The following is a 14525-nucleotide window of genomic DNA, read 5'->3' on the forward strand; positions in this document are numbered from 1 at the left end:
CTTTTTTCTCCCTTTTGTTGACCTTACCCAGTCTCATGATGACAGGTGGCATCACTTTGCAGGAACCCCTCACCTTTGCCCTCATTGTGCTCCCAGCCTTGTTCTCCTCTTCTTCCCCCTCCCCTACTCCTCCTCTTCTTACCCCTTCCCTACTCCTCCTCTTCCTACCCCTCCCCTACTCCTCCTCTTTGTCTCTCGTGGCTTTCTGGCACTCCCGCATCCCAGCACATCACCTCTGGGTGCCATCTTTGACCCCCTCCACCCACTCAGAGTTGCTGGAACCTCTCCATTCTGTTTGCTCTGAAGCCCCCACACTTTTCTGCCTTTGCCAGGTGCTTGCTGCCCATCTCTTAGGTCACTGGCCTCCACTTTGCCCTTTCTAAGATTGTCCTCTTTAAGCAAAGTTTAGAAACTTCTGTTCAGAAATCTCCAATGGCTCCCTCCACGCTCCTGTTTCTGTTTTTCTACTTTGTTTCCCAGTGCTCTGCTGTTGTTTTGGGACCTTTGTTCTGGCCACACTGGATGCTGTCTGGTTTCTGTGCTTTTCCATGCACTGTGCTTTCGCACATTGCTAATTTATCTGCTTGGAATACTCCTCTTTTCCCCTAACTCTGCAGGACTAAATTTTACTTACTTGCCAAAACCCAACTCAGAAACTTCCTCTTTCCTCAGTCCCCACAGCTGGAGAGAATCTCCCTGTCCCAAAGACCCCAGAGCACACTACTTTCTGTCTGAGGCACAGAGGACGTTGCCGGGTCAGTTATTTCAGAGGGTACCCTTCCCCATGCCCTGCTAAACTGCAGGTTTTTGTTTTTAATTAATTAGCTGTTTATTGTAAATATTTAAGGTGTGCAACAAGAAGGTTTTTGTTTTGTTTTGTTTTTTTGAGACAGGGTCTCACTTTGTTGCCCAGGCTGGAGCACAGTGAGGCGATGATTGCTCATTATAACCTCAAACTCCTAGGTTCAAGTGACCTTCCCACCTCAGACTCCTGAGTAATTGGGACTACAGGCATGCACCACCACGCCTGACTCTTTTTTGTTTGTTTATTTGTTTGAAGAGGTTGGGAGGTTGTGGAAAAAGGCAAAAAAAAAAAAAAAAAATAGAGATGGTGGTCTCACTGTGTTGCCCAGGCTGGTCTCAAACTCCTGGCCTGAAGCAATCCTCCTGCCTCGGCCTCCCAAAGCACTGGGATTACAGGCATTAGCCACAGTGCCAGGTCCAATATGCTGCTTTGATAAACATAGTAGTAGGTTGTTTACTACAGTCAGGTGAATTAATATATTCATCTTCTTGTATAGTTTACCTTTTTTAAAATGGTAACATCTGAATCTACTCTGTTGGCAAATTTCCAGCATATAAAACAATATTATGAACTATAGTCATCATGCTGTACTTTAGATCTCTAGACTTATTCATCCTATATGCCTGTAACTTTGTATCCCCCCATTCTGCCCCCTTCCCCACTCCCATGCCCTAGTCACCACCGTTTTCTGTTCCTTCATTTTGACTTTAGATTCTACATATATGTAAGATCATGTAGTATTTGTCTTTGTGTGTCTGGCTTATTTTATGTAGCATAATGTCTAGATTTACCCATGTTGTTGCAAATGACAGGATCTCTTTTTTAAGGCTGAACAATGTTCCAACATATATACTGTGTGTACCACAATTTCTTTATCCAGTTGTCAGTGACACTTAGGTTATTTCCATATTTTGCCTATTGTGAATAATAGTCCAATGAGTATGGAAGTGCAGATATCTGTTCCACATACTGATTTTGTTGTCTTTGGGTAGATAACCAGAGTGGGATTGCTGGGTGATATGGTAGTTCTATTTTTAATTTTTTGAGGAACTTCCATACTGTTTTCCATAATGGCTATACCAAGTTTACAGCCCTGCTATCAGTATACAAGGGTTCTCTTTTTTCCACCTTCTTGCCAACATTTATCTCTCTTTGATAGCAGCCATTCTAACAGGTGTGAGGTGATTTCTCATGATTTTGATTTGTATTTCCCTGATGTTCAGTGATGTTGAGCACCTTTGCATATATCTGTTGGCCATTTTTATTTCTTCTTTGGAGATATGTCTATTCATGTTTTTTGCCCATTTTTAATTTTTTTTTGCTATTGAGTTGTGTGATTTCCTTATATATTTTAGATATTAATCTGTTTGTCGAATATATGATTTGTAAATATTTTCTCCCAATTCATAGACTACCTTTTCTTTTCTTTTTTTTTTTTTTTTGAGACGGGGTCTCACTCTGTCACGTAGAGTGAGTGGTGTAGAGCGCAGTGGTGTGGTCCCGGCTTACTGCAGCCTCGACTTCCCAGGCTCAGGTGATCCTCCCACTTCAATATCTTGAGCAGTTGGGACTACAGGTGTGTGCCACCACAACCCATTAATTTTTGTATATTTTGTTTAAAAAAGAAAGGTTTTGCTGTGTTGCCCAGGTAGGCCTTTAAACTCCTGGGCTCAAGCTATCTACCCACCTGACCTCACAAAGTATTGGGATTACAGGCAGGAGCCACCATGCCTGGCACATAGGCTGCCTTTTTATTTTGCTGATTGTTTCCTTTATTGTACAGAAGCTTTTTAGTTTGATGTAATCCCACTTGCTTATTTTTGCTTTTGTTCTCTGAGCTTTTGGTGTGATATCAAAAAAATCATTGCCAAGGCCCTTGTTAAGGAACTTATTCCCTATCTTTTCTTCTAGGAGTTTTATACTTTCAGGTCTTACATTTAAGTCTTTAATTCATTTTGAGTTGATTTTTCATGTATGGTATAAGATAAGAAGCCAATTTTATTCCCTTGCATGTGAATATCCAGTTTTCCCAACACCATTTATTGAAGGAACTATCCTTTCCCCATGGTGTTTTCTTGGTACCTGTGTCATAAATTAGTTGACTTTTATATGCTTAGGTTTACTTCTGGATTCTATTTTCTGTTCTGTGTGTCTGTTTTTAAGCCAGTACTGTGCTATTTTGATTTCTATAGCTTGAAATCAGAAAGTGTGATGCTTACAACTTTGTTCTTTTTCAAGCTGCTTTGGTTTTTCGGGGTGTTTTGTGATTCCAGACAAATTTTAGAATTGTTTTTTTAATTTCTGTGAAAAATGCCATTGGAATTTTGATAGGGATTGCACTGAATCTGTAGATTGCTTTGGGTAGTATGGACATTTTAACAATATTAATTCTTCAAATATTTGAACAGAGTATATATTTCCATATATTTATTTGTGTCTTCTTTAATGTCTTTCATCAATGTTTTACAGTTTTCAGTATACAGATCTTTTATCTCCTTAAATTTATTCCCAATCATTTTATTCTAAAGTGGGTGTGTGTGTGGGGAAGGGCAGGGCAGTCTTTAGGGCTTTCTGCATATAGGATCTTGTCACCTGAAACTGGGATAATTTTATTTCTTTCTTTCTAGTTTGGATGCCTTTTATTTGTTTTTCTTGTCTGATTGCTCTGGTTTAGACTTCTAACACTGTGTTGAATAGAAGTGGTGAGCAGGATTGTGGCGAGGGTTTGCAGTTTTGTCCTGCAGAGGGGGTGCTGGGCTTAAACACCAAATGAATGGCTCGTGGAAGAGGGACTGCGATGTCTGAGGCCCTGAGGCAGAGGACTGGGGCCAAGAAATGCAGCTATGAGGGGGTAACTGGAAGATAGCACTGGGAACAGACATAGACACAAGGTGCATATAGATCAGGTTTTGAGAGGAATCATTCCAGTACTTGGAACCACTTTTAAAAACACTGTAGTGACTGGCTACCTATAGGTCATTTCTATGTTAATTTAAAATGTTTTTCTTTTACATTAAAGTGAATATTCAAGGACTTTTGACTGAATTTGTTGGCATTCTGCAAGTCACTTTGTATATCGAAAGCAGCTAAATGGCTTAAAGTCTAAACTTTAGACCAGGTTTTATTCAGTTCATCCTTTTTTTTTTTTTTTTGATTCAGTGTTCTAGAGGAAATTGCCAATTTAGAACTGGTGATTTTATGTGGAGTAATTGACTAATATTAATAATAATTTCTTTGTTTCTACAGAGGTTGCAGAACTTGAAGCTAATTTACCTTGTAAGTATAGCATCCCCAAACACTAAGTACTGTGAAATAATTGCATGAAGAAAACTTTTTATGTTTTAATAACCTTGTATAGTAAAAAGCCTATTTTTCATGTATGTTAGGAATGAATTTTAATTTTCTGTGAAAAGGTAGGATTTTTTCAAGTGTCTAATAAGAACAAGGTAGGCCAGGCATGGTGGCTCATGCTGCTAGTCTCAGCACTTTGGGAGGCAGAGGCAGCTGGATCATTTGAGGTTAGGAGTTCGAGACCAGCCTGGCCAACATGGTGAAACCCTGTCTCTACTAAAACTACAAAAATTAGCTGAGCATGGTGGCGCATGCCTGTAGTTCCAGCTACTTGGGAGGCTGAGGCAGGAGAATCACTTGAACCTGGGAGGCAGAGGTTGCAGTGAGCTGAGATCAGGCCACTGCACTCCAACCTGGGCAACAGAGCAAGACTCCATCTCAAAAAAAAAAAAAATTGGATTAGCTGGGCCTGGTGCTGCATCACTGTAGCCCCAGCTACTCGGGAGGCTAAGGCATTAGAGTCGCTTGAACCCAAGAGGCGGAGGTTGCAGTGAGCCAAGATTGCGCCATTGCACTCCAGCCTGGGTGACAGAATGAGACTCTGTCTTAAAAAAAAAAAAAAAAAAAGAGCAAGGTTCTGCCACCTTTCTGAGTGCTATCTCTCCTTAGCATAGCAGAGGTGCATTTGGTTAGGTTTTTGCCTCTTCCAGATGCATTCTGTCCCGCATCCACTTTGAGTGAAAAAGTGTATAAATCAATAACAGTTCCACTTTTGTTAGGGATGATACCAGCTTTTTGGCAAAGTTCTCATTTGTAACTTGTCTGCATGTTTGAGGGGTGGCTGCACTGCCTTGCTGCTGTCAGTGGGAGTCCATCTTGCTTGATTGTTTCTGCCCCAGACACACAGGGTCAGCATGCAGTCTTCACTCATGAGCACCGTACATTCGGAAAGCTATCTATCAGGCAGTTCACTTTTGTAATACATGTCGTATTCTCTCTATCATTAATCTTCCAAACCCTTGATTATTTCAAAAGATCATTAAAGCCTGAAAGCTTTGATCATTTTAGTATTTTTTGAATTACAACTTTTTATCATTGTACTTCCCTTAAAATTAGTTCTGGGGCTGAGGATGTCTGTGGGTAATGGTGAAATATTTTATAAGTGGGTCTGCTGGTTTGGGTGAGTGCTAGAGAGAACTTAGGATTGGATGTGGAGATATCTCTGACATGGGGCAGGACAGGGCCCATTCCAGCCTCCATCTGAAGTAGGAAAGATAATGGTGGATTGCAACCTCTCCATGGTTGTGAAATCAGTTTGAGAGGGTAAGTATGTAATGTTTCTTAAAAAATTATTATTATTTTCAAGACAGAGGCTCACTCTGTCGCCCAGGCTGGAGTGCAGTGGTGAGATCTCGGTTCACTGCAACCTCTGCCTCCTAGGTTCAAGTGATTCTTGCGCCTCAGCCTCCCGAGTAGCTGGGACCACAGGCATGCACCACCACGCCAGGCTAATTTTTGTATTTTTAGCAGAGATGGGTTTTTGCCTTGTTGGGCAGGCTGGTCTCAAACTCTTGGGCTCAAGTGATCCTTCTGCCTCAGCCTCCCAAAGTGCTGGGATTACAGGCGTGAGCCACTGCGCCCAGCCAAAAGATTATTTTCAGCATATAGAATTTATGGGTAGGTATCGTGAGTTGTGATATAAAATATGTTTCTTACTGTGGATCTCAGTTGAAAGTGTTTTGAAAGACACTGGATTGCTTGACCTCAAAGTTTTCTTCAACTCGGAAATGAGGCAATATCTTGAGATTCTGTTAAAAGGTTATCTTTCTGGCTGGGTGCAGTGGCTCACGCCTATATTCCCAACACTTTGGGAGGCTGAAGCGAGTGGATCATTTGAGCTCAGGAGTTCGAGACCAGCTTGGTCAACATGATGAAACCCTGTCTCTACTAAAAGTGCAAATTTAGCCAGTTGTAGTGGTATGCACCTGTAATCCCAGCTGCTCGGGAGGCTGGGGCAAGAGAATTGCTTGAACCCAGGAGGCGGAGGTTGCGGTGAGCTGAGATTGTGCCACTGCACTCCTGGGCGATGGAGTGAGACTGTCTCAAAAAAAAAAAAAAAAAAAAAAGTTATCTTTCTACCCACTGAAGTATTTACAGATGAAGTAGTTTGCTTTAAAATGCTACAGGAAGACAAACAATAAACAAATAACTGTGGGGGGGCAGGATAGACAAGCAAAATTGGCAAAATGTTGAAGCTGGGGGATGGGTTCATTATACTCTTCTCTTTTATTAGGACATTTTCCTAATAAAAATAAAATAAAATAATCCCTCTGCTTTCCAGTCCCATCTTATCTTCCCACAGGCCCCCAACTTGAGCCTGTATATACATGTAAACCTTTTTTTTTTTTTTTAATAGACAGGGTCTCTCTTTGTTGCCCAAGTTGGAGTACAGTGGCATGAGTGTGGCTCACTGCAGTCTCAACCTCCTGGGCTCAAGTGATCTTCCCACCTCAGTCTCCTGAGCAGCTGAGACCTCAGACCTCAGGTGCATGCTACCACGCCTAGCTAATTTTTAAAAATTATTATTATTTTTTATACAAAAAATCAGCCAGGCATCATGGTGGGCGCCTGTAGTCCCAGCTACTCGGGAGGCTGAGGCAGGAGAATGGCATGAACCCAGGAGGCGGAGCTTGCAGTGAGCCGAGATAGCACCAGTGCACTCCAACCTGGGCGACAGAGTGAGACTCTGTCTCAAAAAAAAAATAATAATAAAATTATTATTATTTTTTTGTAGAGATGGAGTCTCCTGTGTTGCCCAGGCTGATCTCAAACTCCTGGGCTCAAGTGATCCTCCCACCTTGGCCTCCTAAAGAGCTGAGATGACAGGCACGAGCCACTGTGCATGGCCAACACATGTAGACATTTAATCAAAACCACAGAAAAGGTCCCACTTATAAATGGTTCATTCATCCTTGATACATATCTTACAGAGATTGTTGGTTTTTAACCCATAGAGTGTACTTTAAAAACAAGAAAATTTTATGACTGGCTTTCAAATCAGGATTGTAACTGCATACCTTAGGTTTGAAAGAAGTATGGCACATCTCCTAGCCCTATAGCTATGGTGTCAGATAAAAAGACAGCATGCTCCCTGCCCCTTCTTTCATTCTTTCTCCCTACCTTCTCTCCTAATCGAAGAGGGGGAAATTATATCATTTTATTCAAGTAAGCCATGCTTTCCAAAAGTATGTCTCATTATGCTAAAGAGAAAACAAGAAACCACCAATGAATAACCCTTTACTATCTATTTAATTATCTTTCTAAAATATTTACAAAGGCAAACAAAATAACTTGCCTTGTATCAGTACCACTTAGTAACTATTCGGAACTAGTTTGGAGCTCTGCACATGCAAGTTTTTAGCGGTTTCTCTGCAAAAAAATTTAAAATGTTTCTTTCAGATAGACTGAAATATTAGAGGCTCAGATAGTGCATGCCTACATGTAGATAAAAAGCTTAATTCTGGTGCATTGAACTGGAACAAAAACCTGTTAAATTTTTTTTTTTTTTTAGAACTTAACCTTTCTTTTCTTTTCTTTCTTTCTTTTTTTTTTTTTGAGACAGTCTTGCTCTGTCACCCAGGCTGGAATGCAGTGGCGCGATCTCGGCTCACTGCGACCTCCACTTCCTGGATTCAAGTGACTTTCCTGCCTCAGCCTCCTGAGTAGCTGGGATTACAGGTGCCCGCCACCACGCCTAGCCAATTTTTGTATTTTTAGTGGAGATGGGGTTTTGCCAGGATTACAGGCGTGAGCCGCTGCGCCTGGCATAGTTTTATTGCTTTGTAATCCACTTTGATAATTTCTTTTTTTTTTTTTGAGACAGAGTCACGTTCTTTCACCCAGGCTGAAGTGAAGTGGCACGATCTCAGCTCTCTGCAACCTCTGCCCCCGGGTTCAAGCAGTTCTCCTGCCTCAGCCTCCCCCTCAGCTGGGATTACAGGCATGCGCCATTACATCCGGCTAATTTTTTGTATTTTTAGTAGAGAGGGGGTTTTACCATGTTGGCCAGGCTAGTCTTGAACTCCTAACCTCTGGTGATCCACCTGCCTTGGCCTCCCAAAGTGCTAGGATTACAGGCATGAGCCACTGCGACCGGCCGATAATTTCTTTATTCTTGATGGGCCAGCTTTTTGGAGCTATTGATTTCCGCATCTGTCTATTAAAACAAAAGAGAATGCCAGATATTAAAAACAAATACATGATGCCAACTTCAGTGAATCATTGAAACATTTCCCAAGTCAGAATTATATGTTTTTGTTACTTAGAACTCACTAGAAGGATGGCATTTATCTTTGCAAGTTAAGATTAGGAAGAATAAAGCCCATTTTAAGTATTTCACACATAGTTCTAAATGTGTAATTTTGGGGAAAGTCTTGAACTCTTTGGCTCCAGTTTGTTTATTTCTCAAGTAAGGACTGTGACATTGTCATCTCTAAGACTGCTTCTTGCTTTTCTAGACAGTTTTCACTCTGGAAAGGAAACCCCACTATCAGTCCTGTGTTATTTGCTGCTTGTATATACAGGTGTCCCATGTCTTAACATGGTCATTAAGTACTGAAAGGAAATGAGGCATGAGGTAGGGGAAGGAGTCATGAACTAGTTATTAATGTAGGAATTAACCTTGCTTCTGTTGATAACCTGTATGATCTTGGGCTAGTCACCAAGCCTCTCTAGACCTTCTACTTATGTCTCCTAATTGAGGACGTTGGACTAGATCGTCTCTAAGGTCACCTCTGAGTAGAAATTTGAATTGTCCTGTTTTCGATAAAAATTTTTATCATTGTCAAACTAAGCAAATACTTTTGGTGGAACTTGTAAGAAAACTTTAAACAAATTTTTAAAAAGTCTTCTAAAAAAACTTTAAAAACTTAAAAAGACAAAATATCATAGTAAATTCTGGGTGGGAGCTAACTCCTGGGCAGCACTCTTTTTTTTTTTCAGATGGAGTCTCGCTTTGTTGCCCAGGCTGGAGGGCAGTGGCGTGATCTCAGCTCACTGCAACCTCTGCCTCCCAGGTTCAGGCAATTCTCCTGCCTCAGCCTCCCAAGTAGCTGGGACTACAGGCGCCCGCCACCTTGCCCAGCTAATTTTTGTATTTTTAGTAGAGACGGGGTTTCACCACGTTGGCCAGGCTGGTCTCAAACTACTGACCTCGTGAACCGCCTGCCTTGGCCTCCCAAAGTTCTGGGATTACAGACATGATCCACCATGCCTGGCCAGCACTCTTCTTTTTAACTTCCATTTGCCGTGGTGACTGTGGATGTCTGTGGTGCTAAGAGAACAGAGTAGAAATTTGACCTGGGTTTTTCCTGGTTTTTCCATGTTTAGTTCACCACCAGTGGTGAACTGAGAAGTTTAGCATAGGCCTGGTGTGGTGGCCCATGCCTGTAATCCTAGCACTTTCAGAGGCCAAGGTGAGTGGATCACTTGAGCATGGGAGTTCAAGACTAGCCTGGGTAACATGGCGAAAACCTGTCTCTACAAAAGATACAAAAATTAGCCAGGTGTGGTGGTGTGCACCTGTAGTCCCTGCTACTCAGGAGGCTGAGGTGGGAGGATCACCTGAGCCTTGGAGGCAGAGGTTGCGGTGAGCTGGAATCATGCCACTGTCCTCCAGTCCAGGCAACAGAGTGAGACCCTGTCTAAAAAAAAGTTTAGCATAGTATTTTCTGATTTTATAGATGTAGAAAATTTCTATATATATTCCTTCCAGATTCCTTGGGTATTTTTCCTATGGGTAATTAGCTGTGTGTCATTTGTTTGAAGGAGATGGGTGGGATGCAATCAACTTCCCTGGCCTGCACCAGCAGCCAGTAGCTTCTCTCCCAGGGGAACACTTTGTCCTGATTCAGGCCTCTTATGATTTGGACCAGTGGGCACAGAACATTGCCATCTGGGTCAGTAGAGCATTATTTTACCAATAAAGCAAGCTGATTTACCACTTAGGTAGTAAAGGTATTTTTTAAAAAGACAAAAGATTATGGTAAACTCTGGCTGGGTGGGAGCTAAGTCCTGGGCGCACTCTTCTTCTTCTTCTTCTTCTTTTTTTTTTTTTTTTTTGAGGCAGAGTTTCACTCTTGTTGCCCAAGCTGGAGTGCAATGGCGCGATCTTGGCTCACTGCAACCTCCATCTCCTGGGTTCAAGTGATTCTCCTGCCTCAGCCTCCCAAGTAGCTGGGATTACAGGCGTAAGCCACCATGCCTGGCCAGCACCCTTCTTTATAAAGAACTTCCATTTACCATGGTGACTGAATGTCTGTGGTGCTAGGGCAACAGAGTTGACCTGGGCTCTTTCCTGGTTTTTTCGTGTTTAGTTAGCCTTTGCCTGCATGTATTAATCTCCCTGAGATATGGTTTCTTCTTGTCAAAGTACAGTAGCATAATTCTTGAAATAAATGGTTTAGTGACCACTTAAAGGTTGAAGGAAAACATCTCTATTTGGAATTAACTAGTAAAACACTGTAAGGAGAAAAGCACATGACAAAAACCACTGGTTTGCAATTTTAGAGTATTGGCACGATTATTATCAGACAAATAGGGAGGGAGATCTACCAACTTTCCATAAACCATACGAATCCCTGTAGCACCGCTAACTTTACACGTGTTCAAAGGTTAGCGTCAACATATGGACTGCTGCTCACTGCCAGACCTTCCTGATGTGCTGTTTCTTTTGCAGGTACATGTAAAGTGCATTTTCCTGATCCAAACAAGCTTCATTGTTTTCAGCTAACAGTAACCCCAGGTAATATTCTTACATAAGTATTAAAGTGATTTCAAACAGCGAATTATAAAGGCTGCCCAAACCTGTAATCTTTGCTTTGGTTTGTCCTCTAGCTTTTAAAAGATTAACACATTAATAACAATTTCATATGAAGATAAGATATATACTTCATAGTGAATGAAATAAAGCATATTAAAGTGAATTTGAGGCATTCAGTGTACACTCTCAATAATGATGTATAAATATAACTAAAGTTAATGACAGCTGAGGCAGTTGGTGTATAGTGAAGAGTGTGGGCTCTGAAGTCATAAGTGGGTTCCAATCCTTTTCCCTTACGTAGGAATAGTGTGACCTTGGTTAAGTTGCTTAACCTTTTAGCCACAGCCTGCCTATCTACAAAGTGGGATCAAATAGGACCTATCTCATAGGACAGTTGTGGGGATTAAACAGATAGTGTGGGTAAAGCACTTAAGCCCAGGGTCTGGCACACAGAAGCAGACAGAAGATTACCAGCTGTCCTCAGTAAGACGGATAAGTGTCTAATCCCTAAGCTGCCCCAGCATGGCAACATATTTCTTCTTGGTCAAAGTGACAGCAAGAGGAGGACTTGTATATTTTCTAGTTACAATGCAGCTCCAAGAGCTGCAGATTCCCACACTTCACAACCCACTGGTGTTTATGTTGGACAGTGGGTGGCAACCGGTCGATGCTGTTGTGGGGAATTAACAAGAGGGAAGGACGTTTGGTGGTGGAAATATAGGGTGTTATTTTATTTGGGGGATGGAAAGGTAGTGAGAAACTGAGAATTATTAGTCACTAGCTAATTAAAATGTGGAAAAGAATACAGGATTTTGGTAGGTGGCAATGAACCCACAAATAAGTCCCGGCCTTGTCTCTCTGTAGGTAGGATGGGCTTTTTCTGTGGAAGATGTTTGATAATAATAGCACAAGAAATCCTGGTTTCAAAATATCAAAATATGCTTGAAACCTTAAAAAAAATTCTATTTTATCTATGTGATGGTTCCACAAAGGGCTCTGGAAGTATAAATCAGTCTGATACTGATTCTTCTAAGATAAGGAGAGTACTTGGGTATAGGAGTTAATACTAGAACATCATCATTATGTATATATTTTTCTTTTCTTTCTTGTTTTTTCTATTAGCTGTACTTTATGCCAAATAGAACACCATCATTAGAAAGCAGAGTGTTCCACATGCCTGACATCTATAGATAAATGTAGTGAAGGGCTTTAAACTGTGAAATGATGAAAACTCTAACGATCCTTTGGCTGCCTTCCTAAAACACATTGCATATTGTGCTGTTTTTTACGAGAGGTATTGAGCACACTCTAATGCTTTCTTGGTGACTCAAGGTCACTGCTATGGACATCATTTACTATTCTGTTAAGTAATGTAGGGTATTCTCAGAAATCATTGTAGTGATTAAGATTGGTTCTCTGTTTACTAATTTCAGACTTGTGTGTTTATAGTAAAATATTTTCTTTCATCTGCCTTTCTAGGGCATTTTCAATGGCTATCAGGGATTCTGTGGCTCTGCCCATCCCAAGCATGGGCTTTGTGGTCCTTGGCCACTCAAAGATGTTTGTTGATTTTTCCAGGCTCTTTACTGTCATGTGATTGGGTTTCTGGCAAGTCTGGATAAATGTTTCTTCCCCGCCTCCCCTCCGCGTTTTTTTTTTTTTTTTGAGACCAAGTCTCACTCTGCCACCCAGGCTGGAGTGCAGTGACGCAATCTCGGGCTCACTGCAACCTTCGCCTTCCGGGTTCAAGTGATTCTCCTGCCTCAGCCTCCTGAGTAGCTGGGATTACAGGCATGCGCCACCATGCCCAGCTAATTTTTGTATTTTTAGTAGAGATGGGATTTCACTGTGTTGGCCAGGCTAGTCTCAAACTCCTAACCTCAGGTGATCTGCCAGCCTCGGCTTCCCAAAGTGCTGGGATTACAGGTGTGAGCCACTGCGCCCAGCCCCCCTTATTTTTTAACTGAAATTTTTTACTGAATCACTTTAATGTTGTGATTATTGTATATATGACAGCATCTTTGATGTTGGTCTTAGAATTGTCCTTGAAAATGGAGCATAATTGTTACAGTTTTTGTACTCACTGTTCTATCAGATTAAAAAGTAACCTGTGGCTGGGCCCGGTGGCTCATGCCTGTAATTCCCGCACTTTGGGAGGCCCAGGTGGGTGGATCACTTGAGGTCAGGAGTTCGAGACCAGCCAGGCCAACATAGTGAAACCTCGTTTCTACTAAACATACAAAAAAATTAGCCCGGTGTGGTGGTGGTGCGTGCCTGTAATCCCAGCTACTCAGGAGGCTGAGGCAGGAGAATTGCTTGAACCCAGGGGGTGGAGGTTGCAGTGAGCTGAGATTGGCCCAGTGCACTCCAGCCTGAGCGACAGAGCTGTCTCAAAAAAAATAAAAAAAATAAATAAAAAGTAACTTGTGTCTTGGTACCTGTAAATACTTAATGCCTGAATATTCATATTTTTAATAAGTGTACTTCAGGGACATTAACATTGAGCTGTGCACAGCATGCTTTTTAGATACTGTGTATATGCCCTTATTTTGTGATGTCTGTGAATTAGAAAGCTGTGGTGATGCCTGCCCTTTGATTATTAAGAGAAGTGTGGCCGAGATATGCCAACCGGAAAAACTTGCTTCATATCATGGTTTTTAAAAAAAATTTTAGAATCCTGCTCCTCTTCATATTGAAAACAAATTACAGTGATATGTCTAAGTTGTGAAGTTTTAACAATATATGAAATAAAATGATTTTGAAATGGACTCATTTGTAGCCAGTAATCCTGGAGCTAGGGCTGAAAACTCACTAATATCTATGATCTGGGGGTTAGAATGGTCAAGAGTGGAAGAATTGCGTCTGCATTTTCAGCTCACACCTCTTTATCTGGCTCCTGTTCACACTTGCTAACATTTTGATAGTTTTGTTTGCTTTTGGAGTGGTTGCTCATGCTTGGGAATAAATACACTCTTTAGAGAAAAACATGGAAATGTAATTTGGTGATGGGGAAAAGAAAGGGACCGAATTTAGAAAAAAAGCGTCCACATCATCTCGCAAAACAAGAAAAAGTAGTAATAAGTGAAATGAAACAAAACAAAAACGTAAAAGATAGCCTGAAATATCCCGTGGAGGCTTCTGTGAAGTTAGTGGGACAGTTTGAAAAACTGGACCTGTTCAGTGAGTGGCCTGGCTGACATGTTGATGAAGGTCACCTCAGCCTGCCCTGCTGTGATGGTGGTGATGGTTTTAGGCTGAAGGGAACATGGCTTTAAGTAACAATGACAATTTTTTAAATTTAAATTAAAAATTTTATAATCAGTTTTACTGAGGTATAAAATTATAAACAATAAAATGTACTAATTTGAAATGTATAGCTTACATTTGGAAAATGTATACACATATGTAACCATAACCCCAATAAAGATGAAAAACATTTCCATCATTCCCAAAGTTTCCTTCTGCCTCTTTGCAGCCAGTTCCTTGCCCCCTACACCACCATCCAAAATTCCTTTCTGATTTTTATTTCCATAAATTAGTTTTTCTTGTTCTTGAATTTTTTATATGTAAATGGAATCTTATATATGTACTCTTTGTCTCTGACTTCTT

The 14525-nt window shown here is 41.2% G+C and overlaps 1 protein-coding gene and 1 long non-coding RNA gene across 9 annotated transcripts in view; both read left to right on the forward strand.

Annotated features, from left to right (window-relative positions):
• The window catches only part of UBE2F-SCLY (UBE2F-SCLY readthrough (NMD candidate)), a 132469-nt gene that overhangs the window by 16967 nt on the left and 100977 nt on the right, over positions 1-14525 (forward strand). The window contains exons 3-4 of the long non-coding RNA NR_037904.1: positions 4052-4081; positions 10833-10898. This is a non-coding gene — a long non-coding RNA (UBE2F-SCLY readthrough (NMD candidate)). The remainder of the gene's footprint in view (positions 1-4051; positions 4082-10832; positions 10899-14525) is intronic.
• The window catches only part of UBE2F (ubiquitin conjugating enzyme E2 F (putative)), a 75769-nt gene that overhangs the window by 16898 nt on the left and 44346 nt on the right, over positions 1-14525 (forward strand). For 7 of the 8 annotated variants that reach the window (NR_103500.2, NR_103499.2, NR_103498.2 and 4 more), the window contains 2 exons: positions 4052-4081; positions 10833-10898. The exons of the other annotated variant lie outside the window; for it this stretch is intronic. Coding sequence is in view for 4 of the 7 variants with exons in the window: in NM_080678.3 (NP_542409.1) it covers positions 4052-4081; positions 10833-10898 (96 nt within the window). In the remaining 3 variants the exon portion in view is untranslated. The remainder of the gene's footprint in view (positions 1-4051; positions 4082-10832; positions 10899-14525) is intronic. 8 annotated transcript variants of the gene reach the window in all.

This window comes from Homo sapiens, chromosome 2 (genome assembly GCF_000001405.40).
Source record: "Homo sapiens chromosome 2, GRCh38.p14 Primary Assembly".
NCBI lineage: Eukaryota > Metazoa > Chordata > Mammalia > Primates > Hominidae > Homo > Homo sapiens.